The following is a 22,454-nucleotide window of genomic DNA, read 5'->3' on the forward strand; positions in this document are numbered from 1 at the left end:
TTTCCCACAGGGTCTAAGAAGGCCACCACTGTCATTTCTTCCCTTCTGTCAGACATAATTCCTCGGTTTGGCCTTCCCACCTCTATACAGTCCTATAAGGGACCGGCCTTTATTAGTCAAATCACCCAAGCAGTTTCTCAGGCTCTTAGTATTCAGTGAACTAATGGTCTTTTAAAAAGACACCTCACCAAGCTCAGCCACCAACTTAAAAAGGACTGGACAATACTTTTACCACTTTCCCTTCTCAGAATTCAGGCCTGTCCTCAGAATGCTACAAGGTACAGTCCATTTGAGCTCCTGTATAGACGCTCCTTTTTATTAGGCCCCAGTCTCATTCCAGACACCAGACCAACTTGGACTGTGCCCCCAAAAACTTGTCATCGCTACTATCTTCTGTCTGGTCATACTCCTATTCACCGTTCTCAACTACTCATAAATTCCCTGCTCTTGTTTACACTGCCAGTTTACACTGTTTCTCCAAGCCATCACAGCTGATATCTCCTGGTGCTATCCCCAAACCGCCACTCTTAACTCTTAAAGTAAATAAATAATCTTTGCTGGCCAAGGCTATGCTGAACCTTCTAAGGCACTCTCTAATTAGATGTCCTAGGTCCTCCCAATTCTTAGTCCTTTAATACCTGTTCTCCTTCTCTTACTCCATTTACTTTTTCTATTCATACAAAACCGTGTCCAGGCCATCACCAATAATTCTAAATGACAAATGTTTCTTCCAACAACTCCACAATATCACCCCTTACCACAAAATCTTCCTTCAGCTTAATCTCTCCCACTCTAGGTTCCGACGCTGCCCCTAATCCCACTCGAAGCAGCCCTGAGAAATATCGCCCATTATCGCTCCATACCACCCCCAAAATTTTCACCGCCCCAACACTTCAACACTATTTTGTTTTATTTTTCTTATTAATATAAGAAGACAGGAATGTCAGGCCTCTGAGCCCAAGCTAAGCCATCATATACCCTGTGACCTACACGTATACATCCAGATGGCCTGAAGTAACTGAAGAATCACAAAAGAAGTGAAATTTAAATGACCTGTTCCTGCCTTAACTGATGACATTCCTCCATAAAACAAGTGAAAATGGCCAGTCCCTGACTTAACTGATGACTTTGCACCACAAAAGAAGTGACAATGGCCGGTCGCTGCCTTAACCGATGACATTATCTTGTGAAATTCCTTCTCCTGGCTCATCCTGGCTAAAAAGCTTCCTCACTGAGCACCTTGTGACCCCCCATCCCTGCCCGCCAGAGAACAACCCCCCTTTGACTGTAATTTTCCTTTACCTACCCAAATCTTATGAAACGGCCCCACCCCTATCTCCCTTTGTTGACTCTCTTTTCGGGCTCAGCCCGCCTGCACCCAGGTGACTAAAAGCTTTTTTGCTCACACAAAGCCTGTTTGGTGGTCTCTTCACACCGACACGAGTGAAAGTCACCTGTCCTGGAGCTAATGTACCTGCCCTGATGAGGGAGACAGGCAAAACAGGGTCCGCCCTCTTCCTGCATGCGAAGCCCTGAAAGTGTCACCAGGCAACTATTTGGAGAATGTGCGGGTGAGGGATCAGTGTTTTGACTCCTTTAGTTATTTCAACCAGAGCAGAAAAGAAGGACCCATGGCAACATCCAATTACAAGCATCTATGTTCTTATTTGAGACTGATGGCCATGCCTTTTCTCAATCTTTGATAGAAACATATTTCAAAAAGCAAGTACACAAAATTCTCCGTTTTAACAAAGAAACTTTAGAAATAGTGTAATTTTCCAAAATAACTTTTCATCCCAGGAACTTTAAACATTGTGAAGTTTTTCTTCCGTAATCAGATAGGATGATAACTGGAATGAGCTCATAGCCTTATCTTTCCTTGCTCATGAATAAAAGACAAAAGTCTGTTGATCTGTTGATCTAGTGGTTTCCATGTGGGGAGAAGAAAAATTCCTATATGGATATGTCAGGGAAGTAGGCCTTAGGACTCCCTCCATCCCCATCCTGAAGACAATTCATTTAGTGCTAGAAAAATCACCTCATTGCCACCTCTGCACCTTGGGCTCTGGGTGCATAAATGCTCATAAAATTATTAGGATAAGCACTGATTCACTGTTAGGCTGAAGTTATAGAGCCAAATTTAATATCAGATTCAAGGTTTTTATTGCCAGGGTTCAAATGCTAAAGTCACATTCCACTTTCTGTTAATTTAGAGAAAAAAAATAAAACCTAGTATTTTCTACAAAGTTGGAGGAAGGAAACATTAGATATGGCCTAAGGCCTTTTTATCAAATGCAATTAGGCTCAGCTGAATATGGTAGAAAATCCAACATGGCTTAAGATAAGGGTTTTAATTTTTTCGCAGAAAAAGGATATCTAGGCAGGTAGGATGACTCGAAGCACAGAGTGGAAACCCAGATTCTTCTGTCTTTATGTTCTACAATACTTAGGGCTTGATTTCTACCCTGAAGGTCATATTCTAGTCACAAAATAGCCACTGTGGCTCTAGCTAAACGCAGTGGTTCTCATAGTGTGGTCTCCAGACCAAGAGCCACAGCATCACCCGGGAACTCGTTAGAAAAGAAAATACTCTGGCGGCACCTCAAACCAACTGCATCAGAAACTGCTGGGTGGGACTCACCGATTGGTGTTTTGAAAAAAGGTGCCCACCGCACCAGCTGAGGCACCTCCCTTGAAAGCCCCACCAAATGACTTCCAGATACTTTTCCCTGCACCCTACCCCAGCCTTCCCAAACCTGGAGATGTTGGCTTCAGTTGGTCACATTGTCACCGACAATGTAGAGATTCTGTTAGTAAAGAGAAGCAGCAATAGACACTTGGTAAGCAACTAGCAGAAGAATCATAGCAATAAAGTGCAGGGCTAGGCACATTTTCATTCTCGAGGAAAAGAGTCAAACTCTGTAAAATATTCGAATAGATTTATTCTGAGCCAAATATGAGTGACCGTGGCCTGGGACACAGCCCTCAGGCGGTACTGAGAACATGTGCCCACCCAAGGTGGTCAGGATGCAGCCTGGTTTTATACATTTTAGGGAGGCATGAGACATCAATCAAATATGTTTGAGAAATACATTGGTTTGGTCCAAAATCAATAGAAAGGAAATGTTCAGATTAAGATAAAAGATTGTGGAGACCAAGGTTTTTTGTTTGTTTGTTGTTTGTTTTTTTTTAAAGACAGAGTCTCGCTTCATTGCCCAAGCTGGAGTGCAGTGGCATGATCTTGGCTCACTGCAAACTCCACCCCCAGGGTTCAAGCAATTCTCCTGCCTCAGACTCCCGAGTAGTTGGGGCTACAGGCAGGCGCCACCACACCCAGCTAATTTTTGTATTTTTAGTAGAGGCAGGGTTTTGCCATGTTGGCCAGGCTGGTCTTGAACCCCTGACCTCAGGTGATCTGCCTGCCTTGGCATCCCAAAGATTAAGATTCTTTTGCAGTCTCACAGCGGCTGTCCTTAGAGACAATAGATGACAAATGTTTCCTTTTCAGACCTTTAAAAGGTGCTAGACTCTCAGTTAATCTCTTCAGGATTGGGAGGGCCTGGAAGTAAAAGATCTAGCTATGCTAATAGAGATTCTTTACAGATGCAAGTTTTCCCCCACAAAGTATGGCTTTGCAGGGCTATTTCATAATGTGGCAAAGAAACATGGTTTGGGGTAAAATATTTTGATTTTCTTGTCACATAATGGTATGCCAGAGTCAGATTGGAAAGTAAGTCAAGATATATAGGGTTAAATAAAACCCATCTGATGAGAATTTGTGGTTTGTAGGGCATGACTCCCCAGACCCCTTAGGTAGGAATTTGGCAAGATAAGAAAAAATTAGAGCTTAGTCCTCATCATTATTGTTTTGAAATCAGGTATATTGGTGGTCAAACAAATTATTTTGGTGGGTAAATTATCATATGCTTTCAACTTTCAATTTTTTACTGTGACAATAATATCAAATGCCTATATAGATTATGTATGACAAGATTTAATTCAACTGAGCAGGAACACTCAGTGGACCATTTATTAGTAACAGGAAATTCTTTAAGGTTCAGTAACATTTTCTCTATGTTGAGCATTTTATATTTTTCAAACATAGGAAAAGTGAATAATCAAACTCCTAGAAATTTCTCGTTTTAGCCTCGCTCTGTCACACAGGCTGGTGTGCAGTGGTGCAATCTCGGCTCACTGCAACCTCCACCTCCTGAGTGGCTGGTACTACAGGCATGAGACACCATGCCCAACTAATATTTTTGTATTTTTAGTAGCTACGGGGTTTTGCTGTGTTGGCCAGGCTGGCAAACTCCTAGAAATTTCTACTTTTGGACGTTTATTCACATGTAGTCAAATATTGTTAATATAGTCTCTATATCCTTAAATGAACTAATTGATTGACTCATGAGTATTAAAGATAACTAAATTAGAGTAAAACCAGTTTCTAACTCATCAGAATACTCTCCACCTCCTCCACCTTTCTTGTCAGTATTCCACTTTTAAAGAGCCCAGTGACAAAAAAATGATTAGCCTATGCCAGGAATTTAATTAAAAAATTAACTCATTGATCAGAATAGGTTTGTTGTCATCTTGTACTTCTCTATGTACAGATACGGGCCTATATAACATAATTTATTGTTCACAATTGCCTTCAGTTGAGTTTACCAGGGTAGAGACTCTGATATTCTAAGATTTGTGTGCAAGAGTTTTATTGGGTACTGCTCTCAGGATCAACACCTGTTGTAAAGTCAGGATCAACACCTGAGTAAAGTCCAATCCCTCACTGTGACCGACAGACCCTACAAGATCTGGCTCTGGACCACTTCTTGATGTTACCCCTAGCCTCTCAAACCTGTCCACCCCTGCTTTCTGCTCCTTAAGCATGTTGAGCACCTCAGGGCCTTTGCACATACTGTTCCCTGCCCTGGACCATGCTTATCTCTAGATAACCATATGGCATGCTGCCCCTTTCCATCCTATGTCTGTTCAGATGTCACCTCTGCTGAGAGGCTATTTTGACCAGCCTTTCTAAAGTAACTCCATCCTATAGTTTCTTGATCTTTACAACACTTAATCACTACCTGACAATATTAATATATATTTCTTTTCAGTTTTTTGTCTGTCCTTCTATAAAGGAAAATCCATGAAGTCAGGGCCTGATATGTTTGGTCAATGATATGTAACACCCCTAAAATAGGTGTTACAGGGCCTGACACACAATGGAAATTCAGTAGTAAGTGGTGAATTAATAAACTAATTCATTCAAATAAATTTTCTGATGAATTTACTGAAATGGAAGAGGTTAATTTTAGGCAGAATTGAAGAAGGTGAATAATGAGCTTCAGATAACCAGATAATTTTAATTAGTATATCACAACCTCACCAACCAGTCTTTTGAAGGAACTGTTACTGTGATAATTTGCATCAACTTGTAATGAATATTGACTAAGTTAGTTTACCTGTAGTGAATCATCTGCATTTTCCATTTGGGATAGTTTCATGTTTCAACAGGTTTTATGCCTCTGTCACGTTAACCAGGTCCAAGAGGGAGAAATAGCTGTGACGAGCTGGCAGGTGTTAAGTATAGACCACAGCTAATTCCTCTTAAAGGCTTAATTTACATTCCAAATAGAATGCATCTGTTTTTCAGATTCTAATTATTTTAATGTTGTTTTTGCAAAGGGTGATTTCCATAACTTGAATATTTGAAAAATTCAAATTGTAACTATGTAGAACTGAACCAATATAGAATGAAAGGAAACCCAATGCGTTCGTTTGTGAGGCATTGCCCTCAGGAGATATATATAGCTAGAATTTGCACTGCCCTTATTTTAAAAATGTCCAGAACCTCTAGGCTCCTACTGTTTCCCTGGCTCACTCATAAAAAGCTGCCTAGCAGTCTACTTTTTGCCCTTGTAGTAATGCCTAATTTTCTTTGAACTAAATGCTTTATGCTTATCTCTTTTAATTGTAACCACCTGAAGTAGAAGAGGGTTTTTTTTTTTGTTTTTTGTTTTTTTTTTTTGTTTTTTTTTTGAGATGGAGTCTCACTCTGTCATCCAGGCTGAAGTGCAGTGGTGCGATCACAGCTCACTGCAACATCCGCCTCCCAGGTTCAAGCCTGGGAGTAGCTGGGATTACAGGCATGCGCCACCACGCCTAGCTATCTTTTTTTGTATTTTTAGTAGAGACAGGGTTTCACCATGTTGCCCAGGGTGGTCTCGAACTCCTGAGCTCAGGCAATATACCCGCCTTGGCCCCCCAAAGTGCTAGGATTACAGGCGTGAACCACCTCACCTGGCCTAGAAGATAGTATTGATCCCATTTTATAGAAGAGGAAACTGAAGTGCACAGATCAAAGCCACACAGTGAATGAACAGGAAAGTGGGACTCTAAGGCCCCTCCCTAATGTGCACTGTGTACTACATCCAATCAAGAGCCTTCTGTATGACAGACACACCTGACAGCAATAACATAACTTAGGCACACTCTGAGAATGACCCTATGGTCTAAGAAGAATGTGTGTTTGTAGCTGTAAGCTAAGGAATCCAGAAGTAGCCAACATGGAGATTCATTCCTTATCCCTTGGCCCATCCTGTGGAGCACAGGCTGTACAGAGGATCAAGGCTCTTTGTTTTGGGTTAAGTGAAGGTTAATGGGTAGAGGTTCCTAGGAGGAGGGTGTTAAGTGAAAACACTATATAAACTGCATGCTTTATACAAGTTGTTACAGTTCTCCTGTCTAGTCCACCACCACTGGACGGGACTGCCCTGTATGTAAGTTCCCTCAATAAACCCTATGTCTTGTTCACTGGTGCCAGGTCTTTAGCCTCTCAAACACGATGCCATTCCTATTGAATGAAGTCAACAGGGGTCCAGCATGATACCTGCCAGTCTTGAATTCTTTTTACACCATTTTGCAGCCATCCCCCTCCCCCATTCCATCCTTGAGTTCTAACTCCAAGGACACACAGTAGCTGCTCAATGAGCTTTGGTTGTGTTGTCAGTTAATCATTAACAAAATGACCCTCCAGCTCCCTTTTAGAGTATCACCAAAAAGTGTTTTATGAATACACCATTTGCAAACGTTATCATGAATCTGGGCTGGATTCAGAGCCTAAAGGAGGGTAGAGTGCCCGCCTGGCTACCTGCAGGGCACTCACCTGAGCTCTTCAGGAATGATTTCACATGTTTTTGCCAATTCTAGAGCCATTGAAGTCCACAGCAGGTTTTTTTTTATCCCAGCAGTCCCTAGCCTACCTGATATTCTGACAAGCAATTTGATTTATCTCTTGGCTTTTATGTGGCTCTATCTGGAGTAAAAGTGGCAAGGTATTTGAAAGTAAGTTAGAGTGTACGGTTGCTTTTCTTGAGCATGGGAGAACCACTGGAACTGATTTTTTAATTAAAAAATTAAAAAAGGCTGGCCAAGGAGGTAAAGGGCTCAAACAGCCTGGCTTTGGGAAACTTGATTCCTGCTTTCAGCTTGATGGAGTCTCTCCTGAGCATTTCAGACTGTACAGCTGTCCACAGTTTGGAGGTAAAAAATGCCATCACCCTCTTAACCAAGCTTCTCTTTGTCAGAAATTCGGTTTCCAGTCCTCAATGACTTTGCATTTCTGTCTCCACAGCCTTTTTGATATTTCATTAACACACATGAAAATCCTTCTGAATGATGTTCCTGTGCTTTGTAAAAACGCATCTAGCATCCCACAGGTGATATAGACAGGAGACAGGGAGATACTGAGTAGAAGAGGGTGGTTTCCTGGCAAGAACCCCACCCTCAAGCCTGAAGAACCTTGGCCCTAAATGAGGACAGGCATTCCTGTTTTTGCACTCAAGAAGTTGCCTTTCGGCCTGCTACGTTCCCTATCCTGCACCCATATAAACCTCAAACCCCAGGCTCCAGGAGCAGACCAGCAGATGAAGAGAAGCAGAGGGACGGCAGAAGGACACAGCAGGGAGACAGGAAGAGGAACGTTCAGCTGGGGGTGGTTGGAAAGGAGTTTGGCAGCTGGACAGCCCAACTCCAGGGGAAGATCATCTTCCCACTCCATCCCCCACTTCCGCTTTCCCATCCATCCCGCCAAGAGCCACCTCCACCACTCGACGAAACCCTGCGTTGATCCTTCAAGCCCGTGTGTGACCCGATACTCCCGGGATGCTGGATAAGAACTCGGGATACAGAAAGATTTCACACTGGCCCTCTGACCTTGCAAAAAGGCAGAGGGTCCATAGAGCTGGTTAACACTTAAAGCCATCTGTGGACAGCAAGGCTAAGACAGCATTGTAGCACTGGGATTGCAGGCGCCCACCTCGAGACCCTACCATGGGGCTGGAGCCCAAAGTGCTCGCCCCAGCTCTGCATCTGCCCTTCTGCGTGCTCCCTTTCCCGCAAGGGGTTTGAGAAGCAGCAGGACGGTGACCTGTCAGTCACTCCACACCCCTGTCACAAGTACTGAGAGGGGGAACCGGGAACTCTCCCATTTCACAGGGACTCTAACTTACTTCCTCATCACTAAGTTTAGAGTTGCTCCACACTTGCTTTTTTCTTCTGTGGGTATAGGGGAGTTGGAGTTGCTAAAATGTGCTGCAACCCATGTTTTCCCTTTAGCCTGGAGTACTCTTGCTTGGTCCCTTCCCTCATCCTACTCTCACCCTACAGTCACACTCCCAAAAGTTTGCCCGGATATGGCTTACTTACTGTACCCATTCTTCATGTTACCTCCTCAAAGCCTTCTTTGAAACTTTCCACCTTCAAGATCAGGTATCCTGTAGTACTGATATATATGTAGTTGGTGCTAAATAAATGTGATTGGGTGGATTAACGAATACATGGACAGTTGGATGGAGACCAAGCAAGGTGGTGTAATCCCATTCTGTGAAAATTTTAAAAAATAAGAAATTGAACTCACAAAGGGACAACAAATATTTTGGTTTCCAGGGAAGATAAAAGAACATTCTATATGTATTGTGATTACTTTTTTCCAGGGACTCTTTAATTCCTAACTTCCTAGCAAGGAGTGACCAAGACAGCTTTTTGAGCTATCATCTGGCTCTATGACTGTGGTGTGAGGAGGGTTTGCACTTGGTGCCAACACAGAGAAATCACCCTGTTTAGAGTAGAGGGGATGAAGGACGGGGGGAGAAATCACATCCCCTGAACTCTCAGCTATGGAAAGGCCTGGCTCTTGGCACAGTTACCGGGTATTACCAGGTACCAATGTCTGTCTTGGATGACTCCAATACTCTCTCCCTCTACTCTTCCCTTGTCCCTCACTCCCTGACCCTCGCCTCTCTGGGCATCAGCAGAGGGAAGCAGGGGCCTCTGCCATCCCATCAGCCTGTACCTTCCTGCCAGACAGCCTTGGAGATGATTGTCACTGCAGTGGCATCTGGGGAACCCTGCTTTCCTCTGTCTTGGCTCATAATTTTTCAGAGCCGGAGGAGCAGCCACTCTAAGCAGCTCTGCACTGCTGTGCTTGGATGCTCACAGTTCAGACACGTCATCTCCCTCCTCAGCAGAGAACAAGCTCACATAGCTGCTGCACAAATTTATGGCTCAGCCTGAACATCCATTAGCTATGCTTCCCTTTTATTTTTTAAAAATGTTAATTATACAAATAATACATGAACACATTTTAGTTGTAAAATTTAAAATCTAAGCATAAAAGTAAAGCTAAAGTCTACTTTGACCATACGCTTTCTAGACCATACCCCTTTCTAGAGGTAACTGTTGTTACCTTCTTTTGTGCATTTAGGCTCTTATACAGAAATACAGAAAAAATGGTTTTCATATTTAAAAAATTTAAAAATCATGTTATATATAGTGTTCAGTAAATTGTTTTCTTATTTCACTAATATTTCTTTTCCTATTAATATATACAGATTAACCTCATTCTTCCTAACTGTTGCATACGGAATGGCTATGGATATAGTAGCATTTATTAACCCATTCCTTATTCATAGATAGACTCATTAGAGTTTTTTTTTTCCCACTAGAGACAACACAGCTACGAAGATCCTTGTGAACTCTAGTTTGTGCATGAGTGGTTCCCTGAAACAGCATGGTAGGCACATATGAAATTTTAATGCATACCAGCAATTGTCCTTTAAAAGCGCTAAAGCAATTTACATTCCACCAGCAAGATATTTAAGGACAATTTAATACATCCTAAGTAACACTTGATTATTTCATATATTAAATTCTTCATATTTGGTATACCTTTATTATTATTATTCATTTAATCATTCATTGGCTTATTCAACAAACGTGTATTGAGTTTCAGATATGTTTCACCCACCAGGCAACAGAGTTGTAAAGCTAGCAGCTCTGCAAACAGCACCTGCATGATGATTTCAGTGTCAGGAAAGCCTCTACACCAGAGCAGCCCCCTTCTTCTGCTTGCTGTAAGTGTCTTTAGCAGGGGATCTCAGATCCCCTTGCCCAGTGAGCCATTAGGCTGTCAGTGCAAACCTGCTCATGGGAAGTCACATTCACTGGAGTCACTCACACCACGCTAGAGGCCCCATGGGCTCATTCCTGAGAGAGGGCTGTGTTGGAGGAGTTAGGAAAGGAGGAGGGAAAGCTGCCAATTGTAGGCAGGGGTGAAGATGGGAGATCTTGTCTACTTCAAAGCTCCTCCTTGAATCAGCAGGTTGCTACTATATGTGTGGTGGCACATTAGTGTGTTTTTTCTTACATTTTAAAGATAATTTACATGGACTGTTATAAAGGGTCTAGTATAATAATGAGGATGATGATGAAAATAATAATGTTTCATTGACTCTTAACACTCTATTGATTGTGACATGAGCCATTATTTTGTGAGCCACTGAGAAAAAAGTCCGGAAGAGAAGCAGATAATCACCTCTTGCAAACCAGTGAAAGCTGACCCTAGAACAACACTAGATAGATTTCATTATTATTACCATTTTAGAGATAAGATAACTGAGGTTTAGAAAGATTAGATAATTTGTGCAGGACTATATAGCTAGTAAATAGCAAAACTTGCCACTTCACCACTGCATCCTTACAAAACCCTCACTAATAGGGGCATGAGTAGTATGGATGAAGGACTTGGAATCATTCTTACAACAGCCTGCTCTGATGAGCAGTCAACTTCAGCTGACTCCTAAATCCCACTGCTGGATCATTCTTGGGGATTACGGGAACAACTGAGTTCTGTTCTCATATAGTCCCCGCCCTTTTCCCTCTGTGGATATATTTGTTCCTTCTTAATTCAACACAACAAACATTTATTGAGCACTTACTGTATGCAAAACATTGTCCTAGGCACCATCCTCTTGGCTTCCAAAGGACATGGGAAGGCACCACTCTAACTTCCCAGTGGAATCGGAAGAATAACTGCCTACTAAATATTAGAACTACCTAGAAAAACACATGAAATCATCTCTGAAAATTTTGAAAAATAAATCAGGATTCTATTAGTGTTGAGATAGAATAATAGAACATTTTTAGCTAAGAAAGAAAATTAAAACCTGCTTCTACCATATACCCTCCTCCTTCCTCCTAAATACTTTAATTAAGCTCTCCATGAGAGGTCACCAGGATGAAGACATAGCAGCTCTGACTTTTCTCATTATCCATCTCCTAGAGACTAGATGTGATTAGACTGACTGAATCTTTTGAGCCCAGGGAAGCATCGTGAAATTTGTGGTGTCCCTGAAAAGATATATCTGAAAAGATATTATCATTAGTTGTGCAAATATCCCAAATAAGGGAGCACTATAGAGAATTTAAACTTTGCAAGTTCACTGATGGATAAAAATTCTGTATGTGTGCATCTGTCACTTCTTGGATATCTGACTCTGCTTCCAAAGAGTAGATTATATCCAGATGGGCTTCTGTCACCTGGCTACAGCAACAGCATGCAACATTTTAAATTTATTTATTTGCAGCCATACCCTGTGTTCTTTTGTTTTCCCTGGCTACTTCCCGCATAGCCCAGAGGCAGGTGTTACAATCCCAGTGGCCTGATCCTCTTGTAAGAACACCACCAGCACACCAGGGCATGACTGCCTAGGCTGCTGCCAGATGGGGAGATCTTGAATGGAAATAGTCACACATTGAAATGGTGCCAAGTAGCAGGCAGTCTTGCAAAACCAACATGGCTTTGGAGACACAATACCTCTGATGAGTGAGAGGCGTGGTGGTATTTGTGGAAACCCAGCTGTTGCAGACGGTGGCATTAACTTGCCCAGCTTTGGCGACAGTTGTCTGAGTTTGGGATCACTGAACCTTAATATAGAATTTTTTCTGGCCCTAGTATTATCTGCGGGTAAACCGTAGCCTTGGGTCTCAGCTGCAGCTGTATACAATATTTCTAAAGACAGACTTTTCCAGTTCGACTAGCGAGAATGTATTAAATCACATGGCCATGTGTTCACTTCTAAACTGGAAATTCAACTTTAGTTGGGAACTGGCCTAGCAGGAGAACAAAGGCCATATAAAAGTTTCAAGGAAGAGGAAATTGTTCTCTTACATGACTGTGGACCTACTAAATGAAGCAATATTGCAAGATTCAGCTAGGAGGTTGAGTGAAAACAGAAGCCTTGGGCTGCCTTCTGGCCACTTTGAACAAAGAGACATAAAGCATGTTTAGGAGGAAGGAGTGTGGATTGAGCTTTGATCTTCTGGACACTGTTAAACCCACTCTTACATCCAAACATAAGAAGGGCTGATTATCTGTTAACTTTCTCTAGTTTCCTTCCTCGTTCCATCTTCTCAGTGGGAAAATGAGTGGGTTTATTCTCAACTCCCTTTCAGCCTCATGACTTTACAAATGATTTATTGGATGCCTGTCCTTGTGCCCAGCCATGTACCAGGAAGACTGAGTGATATAAAGGACTTCTATTTTTGAGAAGTTGAACAATGAAATATGCACTCACTGTACAGCACCAGTAATAAAAGTGAGGGAGAGAGGGGGAGGCTCACTTAAGTGTGGTCTAGTTTTCTCGCTGTAATGATGGCAGGCTCTGATCAGCCTCTTTTTCTTCTCTCTTTAATTCCTCTGTTCTTTCTTTCTATGAGACAGGAGCAAGAATTAAATGAATGACGTGAGGTAGGATCTAGAGAACTCCAGAAAATTGAATTGTCTGAGCTGTAGTGGCTTGACTGGCTGGCTGAGATAATCAGTCCTCCAAATTGGTCCTGCAATCTTAAGCTAGGCATTGGTAGACTGTGCCAAACCCACACATGGTTTTCACTGATCTCTCTATTTGTTCTCAGTTTCCACCTACCTCCCAACTCCTAAGCCTTTTCCCCCAGATGTCCATGCCCCAGGCTCTTTAAAATTACTGTTTAGCTGCCATTTACCAAGCTCTGAAATGTCCCATGTGCTATGTGGGTGCTCCATGATGTTCCAAGGGAGCAGTGTTGTAATCCATTTCAAAGGTGAGAAATACATTCTGCCTGAATATCCAGTAGGTGCTGGAGTTTTAATGCAAACTTGGAATTGCCCATTCTTAGAGCCTGTGCTCTTTTTCTCTTGAAGTTTGTACAATGTGAGTTTTTGTAACACAGGGAATGAATAACGCTAAAATACTCACAGGGCACATCTGAGACTTTGCCTGGCAACTTACTAGGATGATAAGCTTCCTTTGTTGAAGTTTCTTTAGATCTCAGATTCCCTAGTTATGAAATAAGTGGGGTTGGACTGGCTGATCCCACTCCAACCTCTTAGAGTCTGTGAGAGCTCAGGACAGAGCAGTTATATTTCTGTTAATCCTGGGAATTCTGCCTCTTAGGCCGGAGTCCTGGAAACTTAGCTATTGGAGAGTAATCCGCTTCAGACAATGAGCCCTCTAAATGAGATTTTTTCAGACTAGATTGTAGTATTTCAGCTCTTTGTTCCCATGAACACACACATGCTTGGAGGTCCATGAGACCAAATCTGTTCTTTGGGAAAGATGATATCCCTCTTTCTTTGGGAAAGATAATATCCCATCTTTGGGAAAGATATCAAATGCAGGAATGTAAGCAATTCCTGCATTTGAAAAAGACCAAATTTGGGGTATGTCCTGGGGGAAACTGTATTTGAAGAAGAAAGTTTATTACAAAGCTTTATGGAAGGAAAGAAGCTTAAGCGGTTCATGTAGATGAGCTCTAAGGCACTGCTGAAATAGGGGCCTAGGAAAGAAAAAGTGATTTAACCTGATCATATGGAACAGAGGTAAAGCAGCAGCACTTTTACTGCCAAGATAGATGAAAGGGATGAAGAGAAAAAAGCCAAGGGCATATTACAGTAGGCTTGATAAATGTCATCCTGAAATCTAACTCAGTATTTGAATGCTATAAATTGTGTTAAGAAATATAAGGCCAAATAAACCTTTGGGACTGTTTGTGACTGATTCAAGGCGACTGAGTTTAAACTGCTGCTGATGAAATGGATGAGGGTAGAATAATGGTATTAGCAATTTAACAAAATCCTAATAAATCAGAGACGAAACTTGATTTAAGTTACACAGAAAGCCTTGCCAGAGCACATGGCCTCAACTCGGCTGAAGCCTGTGATTAGGATGGGAGCTGAAGTTGGAGCATGGAATCGCTGCTATTTTGGATTCACTTCTACATCCTAAGGAGGTTCCATCAAGTGGTAACAGGGAAAGCATCTGCTCTGAATTCACTCACCACATTTGCAAGCCTTGCGTTTTTGTCACATGTGAATCTCACCTGTGTACTCCCATTTTATCAACTCTCTGGTTTGAAATCATCTCATCCATCCCTCAGTTACCACCTTAGGAGCAAAGGTTTCATACCCAGTTAAGAAAGGACCTGGGAAGAAGGTAATAGGAAGTGAATATTTTATCAGCATAAGAAAGAGCTTTCATCTTATTTCTTAACCCCTGAGAGCCCTGTAATGTCAATATTTGTATAAAACATGAAAACAATGTTTGTAACATATATGCATATGAGGGCTAATAATTTAACATACAATTTCTGAAGTGTTCCATCTCCTAGAATGATGGTTGCCCTGGGGCCTTCCAGTCATGAAGCAATGGATTTAAGATCTTCAGGGAAAGGGTGGAGGCCAACTCTAGCAATGGAGTTATTTCTCATCTTTGACTAGCAAATAGGATTTTTGAGTCACTAGCAAGATAATAGTCTTCAAAGTCAGGCTTTGGTGAAGAAAAATAAATTTCTAAATTCCTTGAGCTCCCATTAACATGTCAGGAATCATTGCTGGTGGACTGGCTCATAGAGTTTCTATAAACCTTGATAGAGAAAACTTAGCATATAATGTAAGGGAAGCCTTGGCTACACCGGAAAGGCAGGGAGAAATCTTGCATCTTTAGGGTTGAGGAATTGTGGGAAGAAGAAGATAGGAACCAGGGAACAGCCAAAGAGTTAAACACATGTGTTCACAGTTTCGCTTCTTGGGAGAATCTTGAGTGAATCCAACACTGAGGTTGGTGGCCTGCTACCCTCACTGGAACCTCTGTGCTTTGCAACTGCAGGGGCACCAGTTACATTGTATTCTTTGTGAACGGCCATTCCTGGAGTTTTGTAATGCTGTGGCCCTTTTTTCAAGCAAGGCCTTATGAGGACTTCAGGTCTCTAGGAAAAATCTGGTAGAAGGATATGGGGCAGCACCAGTAGAGGAAAGTGGCTTGAGGGGCGAGCCTCTGGAAGCTCTCTTGGCTCTGCTGAACTTTGGTGTGTTGGGTAAAAGGTCTGAAGCTTGCTTCATGGCCTGGTGAGAACTCACAGAGCTGCCAAGAAGGGCCTGGCATCAGAAATAAGCAACTACCAAGGACAGGAAAGTCAACAACAAATGCCAGCCATGAGCATCAGATGATAAACTTCATGCCACGAGGCCAGGTGAAATTGTCAGAATTGGCAAATGCCAATCCTGAGATCAGATCGACACCCCATGCCAGGTTGGCAGAGAGGGGCAGTACCCAGGCCAGCTTTCTCTCACCACCTCAACCCCCTTCCTATGTCTCCACTCCCCCAGTTATCAGAAATACCCTCAAGCTTTCACCTCCACCCAGAAGCCATCTTGAAAAGCAGGAAGAAGACGGGGGTAAACAGCTCTGTTCAAAGAGTTTAAGTTAAAATTATATGAATGTTTGTTCCCAAAAAAGCATTTGAATATGTAGATACTATTAATTTCCAAATTCTGCCCTTATTCTCACCCCATCTCCCTACTATCTAGCAAGATTGGGAGGGAGACTGGCAGTTAATAAGGAAGACTGGATCAGTTAAAGACTATAAAGAAGCTTGTATTTTGTTTTGTTTTGTTTTTGCCAGCTTAGTGAAGTATGCATTTGCAATCCTGTTCTACCATGTTGGTGCATAGCTCTTAGTCCTTTAGACAAACAGCTCTTAAACAATTCTACTGTGATTTGTCTGAGATTCCTAGAAATCTCCTACCTTCCAAGTAAGGAAGGGATTAATGGCTGAGTACACACACTCTGGGATGGAGTTAAAGCATCAGACTCTTGGGGCTGGAGCCATCTGGGAGACCATCTCATTAATGAAAGGTTTTATTTTCAGACAGAAAACTGCAACCCAAGAAGCTTCTACTTCTTGTCTTCTGGAACTCTATCTGGGGTCTCTGAGTTGCTGAAAAGAAGCCTGACTACCCACCTACACATGCTAGAGAACATCTAGACACTCCATTCCCACCAATGTGTTAAACATTGAGTGAGCTGTCTTAGACCATACTTACTCATTCACCAGATGAATTCCACCTAGTGACTTCAGTTTATATCACGTGAAGAAGAAAAATTGCCAACCTGAGCCCTTTCCGAATTCCTGATCCAAAATCATTAGATAAAATAAAATGCCAGTTGTTTTAACTGGTTACAGTTTGGGATGGTCTGCTATCCAGCCATAGGCAACTAGTGTAGTAGAAAGAAAGTGCAATAGAGTGTTAGAAAAGAAGAAATTAATGCTAATTTGGGAGATCTCTGGGATAGGGGGAGGTAGGGTATAAGTATAGCTTTAGAAATGGCCAGACCTTGGGCAAGTGGTGATGGTGAGAGGCATGGAGAGGAGAGTAAGAAAGCTGTGGAAGTGGAAGCACATAGAGAATGTTCTGAGCTTGCCCAGAGTGACTGGAGTGAGGCTGGCATGAATGGGAGCAGCAACAGGGAGAGATTTTTGAAAAAAGTCACTGGTTAATGCCAAGACTGTGCATGACATTAAGGATGCTTGTTACTACCAAAAAGGAAGTTTTAAAGTGAAAGCCTTGTCTCCGGTTATTGCTCCAGTGTCAGAAGCTGTCTATTGAAATATGTCACAGTGATAAACAACTAGGTTCATGTGTTCAGCCTGAACCCTAATGTGAGTTTTCTTTCTCCAGTGGAAGTACTAAACTGTGGCTTACACTAAATCTATATGACCTTTGGGTGGTTCCCTGGTAAGGAGTTAAACCTAAAACCTACATCCTCAAAAGTCCCAGAAAGAAATTCTGATTTACCCTTTATCAGTCTATTCTCACACTGCTATAAAGATACAATCTGAGACTGGGTAATTTCTAAACTAAACAAAAGAGTTTTAATTGATTCACAGTTCTGCATGGCTGGAGAGGCCTCAGGAAACTTACAATCATGGCAGAAGGCAAAGGGGAAGCAAGGCACATCTTACACGGCAGCAGGAGAGACCGAGCAAGCACGAGGAAGTGCCACACTTTTAAACCATCAAGATCTCACGAGAACTCCCTCACTGTCATGAGAACAGCATGGAAGAAACCATCCCCATGATCCAATCACCTCCCACCAGGTCTCTCCCTCAACATGTGGGGATTACAATTCAAGATGAGAGTTGGGTGGGGACATAGAGCCAAACCATATCAGAACCCTTGGTTAATCTCCCTGCAACATAGGGATGGCCATTCCTAGAGTTGTGCAATTTGTGCAATTCTGAAATTCCAGCTATGTGTGTAATTCTGAAATTCCTGTATTAATGGCCCTTCCTTTTCAGGTTTCAGAATCCCCTTATTAAATCGTCACCATTCTGCTCATTTATTTGTTTAACAAATGTTTCTTGATGGCCTACTCTATATGCCAGGCACAGCTTTAGATACTTCCCAACATTGAGTAAGATAGACAAGCCTGTGGTTCTGGGAGGAACACCATTGGAGGAAACCAATGGTAAACAAGTAAACAAGCAAGCACACAGGATAATTGCAGGAGGTATAAGAAAAGAAACTAGCACATGTAACACAAAACCAGCACATGTGGAAAGAGAGTGTGGAATAGTGAGTGAAAGGGGGACAGTCAGAACAGATCAGAGAGTCAGGCAGTGTTGGCCATGGAAAGTCTGTGGGGCCTGGGCAGAAGCTGGTTTTCATTTCAAGCGTAGAGGGAAGCAGTAGGAGAGAGCATGAGTAGGTTTATTTTTAAGCAGATCTTTGGCTGATGAAATGAATTGTCAATATTAGTTATGAAGTTACTGGGGATTCAACCAGAGGTTGGCACACTTGTTTTCTGTAAAAGGCCAGAGAGTAAATATTTTAGGCTTTGGGGCAATTTAGTCTCTGTTGCAACTACTCAATTCTGCCTCACAAAAGCAGCCACACACAAGATGTGTAACTTTAGTTACAAAAACAGGTGGTGGACTAGATTTGTCCCAAGGGCTGTAGTTTGGAGACCACTATATTGGATAATGGGGTGTGGGAAAAGTAGGCAGTTGAGTGCACCAAGCAGAGTGGGGATGTATGGTTAGTGGGAGCATGGAGAATTCTAAGAGGCAAGGCCACAGGCTCTGAGAGAAAAGGCAGGTGGAGGAGAAGGATGTCAGTGACAGATTCTGCATTTTCTAATTTCGCAAGGGCTGACCCCCATGAGCACGTGTGTGCATGTCTGCGTTCAGCCTGGTGGCAACATGGACCAAAGGCTCTGGTGTACTGGGGTGGCTGGTTTTGTGGGCCATGAAACCTAACAATATGGGAGTGCTCTTTAAGAAAGTGAGTATAAAATTACAAATACAAAATTGAGGACAGGGCCTTGGAAGAAACGTAGGCAAGTGACAGGCCGTGAAGCGTGAGGCTTATTAGCTCCAGGGTAAATTTACCTCTGCTTGTGTATACCTACTCTCTCCCCACAAGCTCACAGCAACAATCTGAGCCTCATTAAGTCAGACTGTTTCAAATAAAACCTCTTTTAGTGACATCTGGTGCATGATCGATACTTCGAAACACTCAGAATCCTAAACAAGGAAAAGGGCACCTGCTCTGGGTCCTGCTGTGTCTGATTTGTCATCACCAGGGTGCAGGTGCTCAGGCCTCGCCCCACCCCGCTGTCCTTAGCAACACAAACAGCAGTAACTGGAAGCCACACTGCAGCTTGTGTGGCTGATGTTTGCTTTATGTCCTCATACTTCTATTGCTGGAAATGACACTGGAACCCAGAAAGAATGTATGCTGGTGCTTTAGGTCATGAAATGGGAGAAATTTTGTGGATTGTGTTTATTCTATCTTATCCTGAAAAATTTTGTCTGTGAGACAGCCCCTCCTCTGGATTCCACAGATCTGTACGGGGAAAATACTGTAATAAGCACCTGCAGTGGGAGCTCAGTCTCCAGTGCATCTAGGCATGAGTGGAACTGCCCTGTGGAAGGTTGGAGGAGAGGGTGTGCTTGGTAGCTTAGGAGAAAGAGAGAGAGGTAAGGGCAAGGGGGAGAGAGGGATGGAGCCAGTGGATGGTGAAAGGCCTTGCCCTCTGCAGTGTGAGCTCCCTTCAAATCTCTGCTCTGTCCTTTCCCTATTATGCAAATTGTCAGTTAAATTTATGAAGTCAAGGAAGGAAGGAATGAGGGACATAAAGTGCTTGATGCACATGATTTTCTTTAGAAACAATAGAAGTAGCTGAATTCTTCAGCAAGCATGTGGAGGAGGATGTTGGAAGTGGGTGAGTGGTAAGCAAAATGGATAAGGAGGATGGAAGCCATGGAAACTCGTGGGAATTGTGCGGGAGGCTTAGGTTGCCACAGCTCTGGATTTAAGGTTGGTTCCAAATTTAACCACATCTATGAAATACAGAGGGGCCCTGCCTGAGAGCTCTGGTGGTGGCAGATGGCACGTGCCTGGGTCGCACAGCAGCCAGCAGGCACAGCCTGTTGATGAGCACATGTGAGACATCCCTTTAGGCCTCCAGAAACATTGGGCAATTTAGCAAGGGGCTGATTTTCTGTGTGAGTAGATGGGTCTATGGAAATCAATGAGATGTGGGTATAAAAGTCCTGTGACCTCATTGGAGACCACAGGGGAGAGAGGCCTGGGGACATTTAGGCTGCCATGGGTTGCATATCTACCTACATCACCTGATGTAAAGTTACTGAGACCACAAACCTTGTCTTATTCATTGTCATAACTCTTCCTGTCCCCCAATCACCTTTCCCAACTTACCCAGTGCCTAGCATAACCCCTGGCATATATGGTATTCACTCAGTGAATATATGTGCAATGAATAAATGAATAAAGAATGCATGAATAAAACACTCTTATGCAGGAGTCTGTACCCTGGCCCATGCTATCCTTCAGGCTTGATCAACTCTAGCTTCTTCCTGGACTTTTGGTCTCTATCTGCCATGAGAGAATTAATGGTGCTATCACAGCATCATTCAGGCTGACACTTAGAATTATAGAATGGCAGAGCTGGAAAGGACCCTAGAGCAGAGTCCAATGCTTTTGATGAAATCTGAGCCCTTAAAAGAAAAGCCAAGTGACTTCCATTTATCTGAAATCAAAACAAGCAAGAAATGCGAATGACTAGAATATTTTTTATACACCCTATTTATAAGAATACCTTATATATGTGAAGGTTTTTATGGGATATCAAGTTCTCTCACTTACATTATCTCACTGGATTTTCATAGTATATTTTTAAGTAGTCATTGATCTCCGTTTTAGAAAGGGTGAGTGACTTAACCCAGATCATTCAGCTGGCTAATGACAGCCGGTGTTCAAAGTGGTTGCTTTAGTTCTTTCTCACACAGCTACAAAGAACTACCTGAGACGGGTAATTAATGAAGAAAAGAGGTTTAATTGGCTCACAGTTTTACAGGTTGTACAGGAGGCATTGCTAGGGAGGCGTCAGGAAACTTACAATCATAGTGGAAGGTGAAGTAGAAGCAAGCACGTCTTCACATGGCTGGCAGGAGAGAGAGAGGGAGGGAGGGAGGGAGGGAGAGAGAGAGAGAGAGACAGAGAGAGAGAGAGAGAAGGGGGAGGTGAGACACACTTTTAAACAACCAGACCTCATGAGAACTCTATCATGAGACAGCACTAGGGAATGGTGCTAAACCATTAGAAACCACCCCCGTGATCCAGTCACCTCCCACCAGGCCCCACCTCCAACACTGGGAATTACAATTCAGCATAAGCTTTGGGTGGGGACACAGAGCAAAACCTTATCAGTGGTCTACCGATTCCAGGTCCAATGTGATATCCACCATCTGGCAGGAAGCTTACCAGTTCATGGATAACAAATAGGCAAACTGATCTCAAGCATCTCCTTGGTAAGAAACACAGCTTCTAGGTGCTCTCAGTCTCCTATTTCTTAGATAACTCCAGAGCTATATGGCAAAATTCTAGATAAAAGACACATGCTGTTCCACTAATTCTGCCAAGCTGTGAGAGAGTCCGAGTTTCCCATTGCCCCTGTAACAAATTACCACAAACTTAATGTTTTGGATGTCTTATGGTTCTGGAAGTCACATGTCGGAAATGAGTTGTACAAGGCTAAAATCGAAGTGTCAGCAGGGTATATTTCTTCTGCAGCTCTCAAAGGGGAATCTGTTCCTTTCTCCTTTCAGCTTCTAGAAGTTGCTGGCATTCCTTGGCTTGTAGCCCTCTCACTCCAATCTCTGCTTCTGTCCTCACATAGCTTTCTCCCCTGACTCTCTGACTCCTCCTGCATTCCCTTTATAAGGACTATTGTGATTACATTAGGCCCAGAATAATCCAGGATAACCTCCCCATTTCAAGATCCTTGATTTAACCATCTTGACAAAGACCCTTTCGCCATGTAAGGTTAAATTCACAGGGTCTGGAATTAGAGCATGAACATATTTAGGGGATATTATTCAGCCTACCACAGGGAAGAATTTTACTTTTATAATGTGTCAGGTTCAGCAGTTTTCAAAGAAATATTTAAAAATTATACTTGCCAAAGGGTTTATCTGAGAAGAGAATGGGAAGATTATGGTATAAAAGCCACTGTACTCCCAACAATGAGGAAGAAGCTATCTTCCTCAATTTCTCTAGGGCATGGACTGTCCTCCCATGTACCCTCCTTAGTCTCTGAGTTCAGAGTAGAGATGGAGGTAGCCAGACTGGTATCTATGAATAGAGAAAAATTTTTTCAGTCTTGGCTTTTGAGCCTCTACTACCTATAGGTATGAGTGCCAAATGCCAGTATTTACATGCATATTAATCAGTCTTTGGTATCAATGTGTTTTTCAGTGTGAGGTTGTGGGTCTCA

At 42.7% G+C, this 22,454-nt stretch overlaps 1 long non-coding RNA gene across 2 annotated transcripts, besides 4 other annotated features; it reads left to right on the forward strand.

The window, feature by feature from the left end:
* Positions 338–962: an enhancer, noted in NCBI's record as "OCT4-NANOG-H3K27ac-H3K4me1 hESC enhancer chr9:2280415-2281039 (GRCh37/hg19 assembly coordinates)". NCBI's record gives its function as "activates a minimal SCP1, AML or CMV promoter by ChIP-STARR-seq in naive and primed H9 embryonic stem cells {active_cell/tissue: H9 hESC(naive and primed)}" and the evidence as "EXISTENCE:reporter gene assay evidence [ECO:0000049][PMID:30033119]".
* Positions 963–1,587: an enhancer, noted in NCBI's record as "OCT4-NANOG-H3K27ac-H3K4me1 hESC enhancer chr9:2281040-2281664 (GRCh37/hg19 assembly coordinates)". NCBI's record gives its function as "activates a minimal SCP1, AML or CMV promoter by ChIP-STARR-seq in naive and primed H9 embryonic stem cells {active_cell/tissue: H9 hESC(naive and primed)}" and the evidence as "EXISTENCE:reporter gene assay evidence [ECO:0000049][PMID:30033119]".
* Positions 2,839–3,463: an enhancer, noted in NCBI's record as "OCT4-NANOG-H3K27ac-H3K4me1 hESC enhancer chr9:2282916-2283540 (GRCh37/hg19 assembly coordinates)". NCBI's record gives its function as "activates a minimal SCP1, AML or CMV promoter by ChIP-STARR-seq in naive and primed H9 embryonic stem cells {active_cell/tissue: H9 hESC(naive and primed)}" and the evidence as "EXISTENCE:reporter gene assay evidence [ECO:0000049][PMID:30033119]".
* Positions 3,464–4,088: an enhancer, noted in NCBI's record as "OCT4-NANOG-H3K27ac hESC enhancer chr9:2283541-2284165 (GRCh37/hg19 assembly coordinates)". NCBI's record gives its function as "activates a minimal SCP1, AML or CMV promoter by ChIP-STARR-seq in naive and primed H9 embryonic stem cells {active_cell/tissue: H9 hESC(naive and primed)}" and the evidence as "EXISTENCE:reporter gene assay evidence [ECO:0000049][PMID:30033119]".
* LOC105375955 (uncharacterized) lies at positions 9,023–16,826 on the forward strand. 2 transcript variants are annotated; one of them, XR_929426.3, is made up of 4 exons: positions 9,023–9,216; positions 10,002–10,069; positions 10,307–10,409; positions 16,522–16,826. It is a non-coding gene; the product is annotated as an uncharacterized LOC105375955 (long non-coding RNA). The 2 variants fall into 2 exon arrangements; XR_929427.2 differs by lacking the exon at positions 10,002–10,069 and having other exon boundaries at positions 9,139–9,216.
* The last annotated feature ends 5,628 nt before the right edge of the window (positions 16,827–22,454 follow it).

This window comes from Homo sapiens, chromosome 9 (assembly GCF_000001405.40).
Source record: "Homo sapiens chromosome 9, GRCh38.p14 Primary Assembly".
Taxonomy (NCBI): Eukaryota; Metazoa; Chordata; class Mammalia; order Primates; family Hominidae; genus Homo; species Homo sapiens.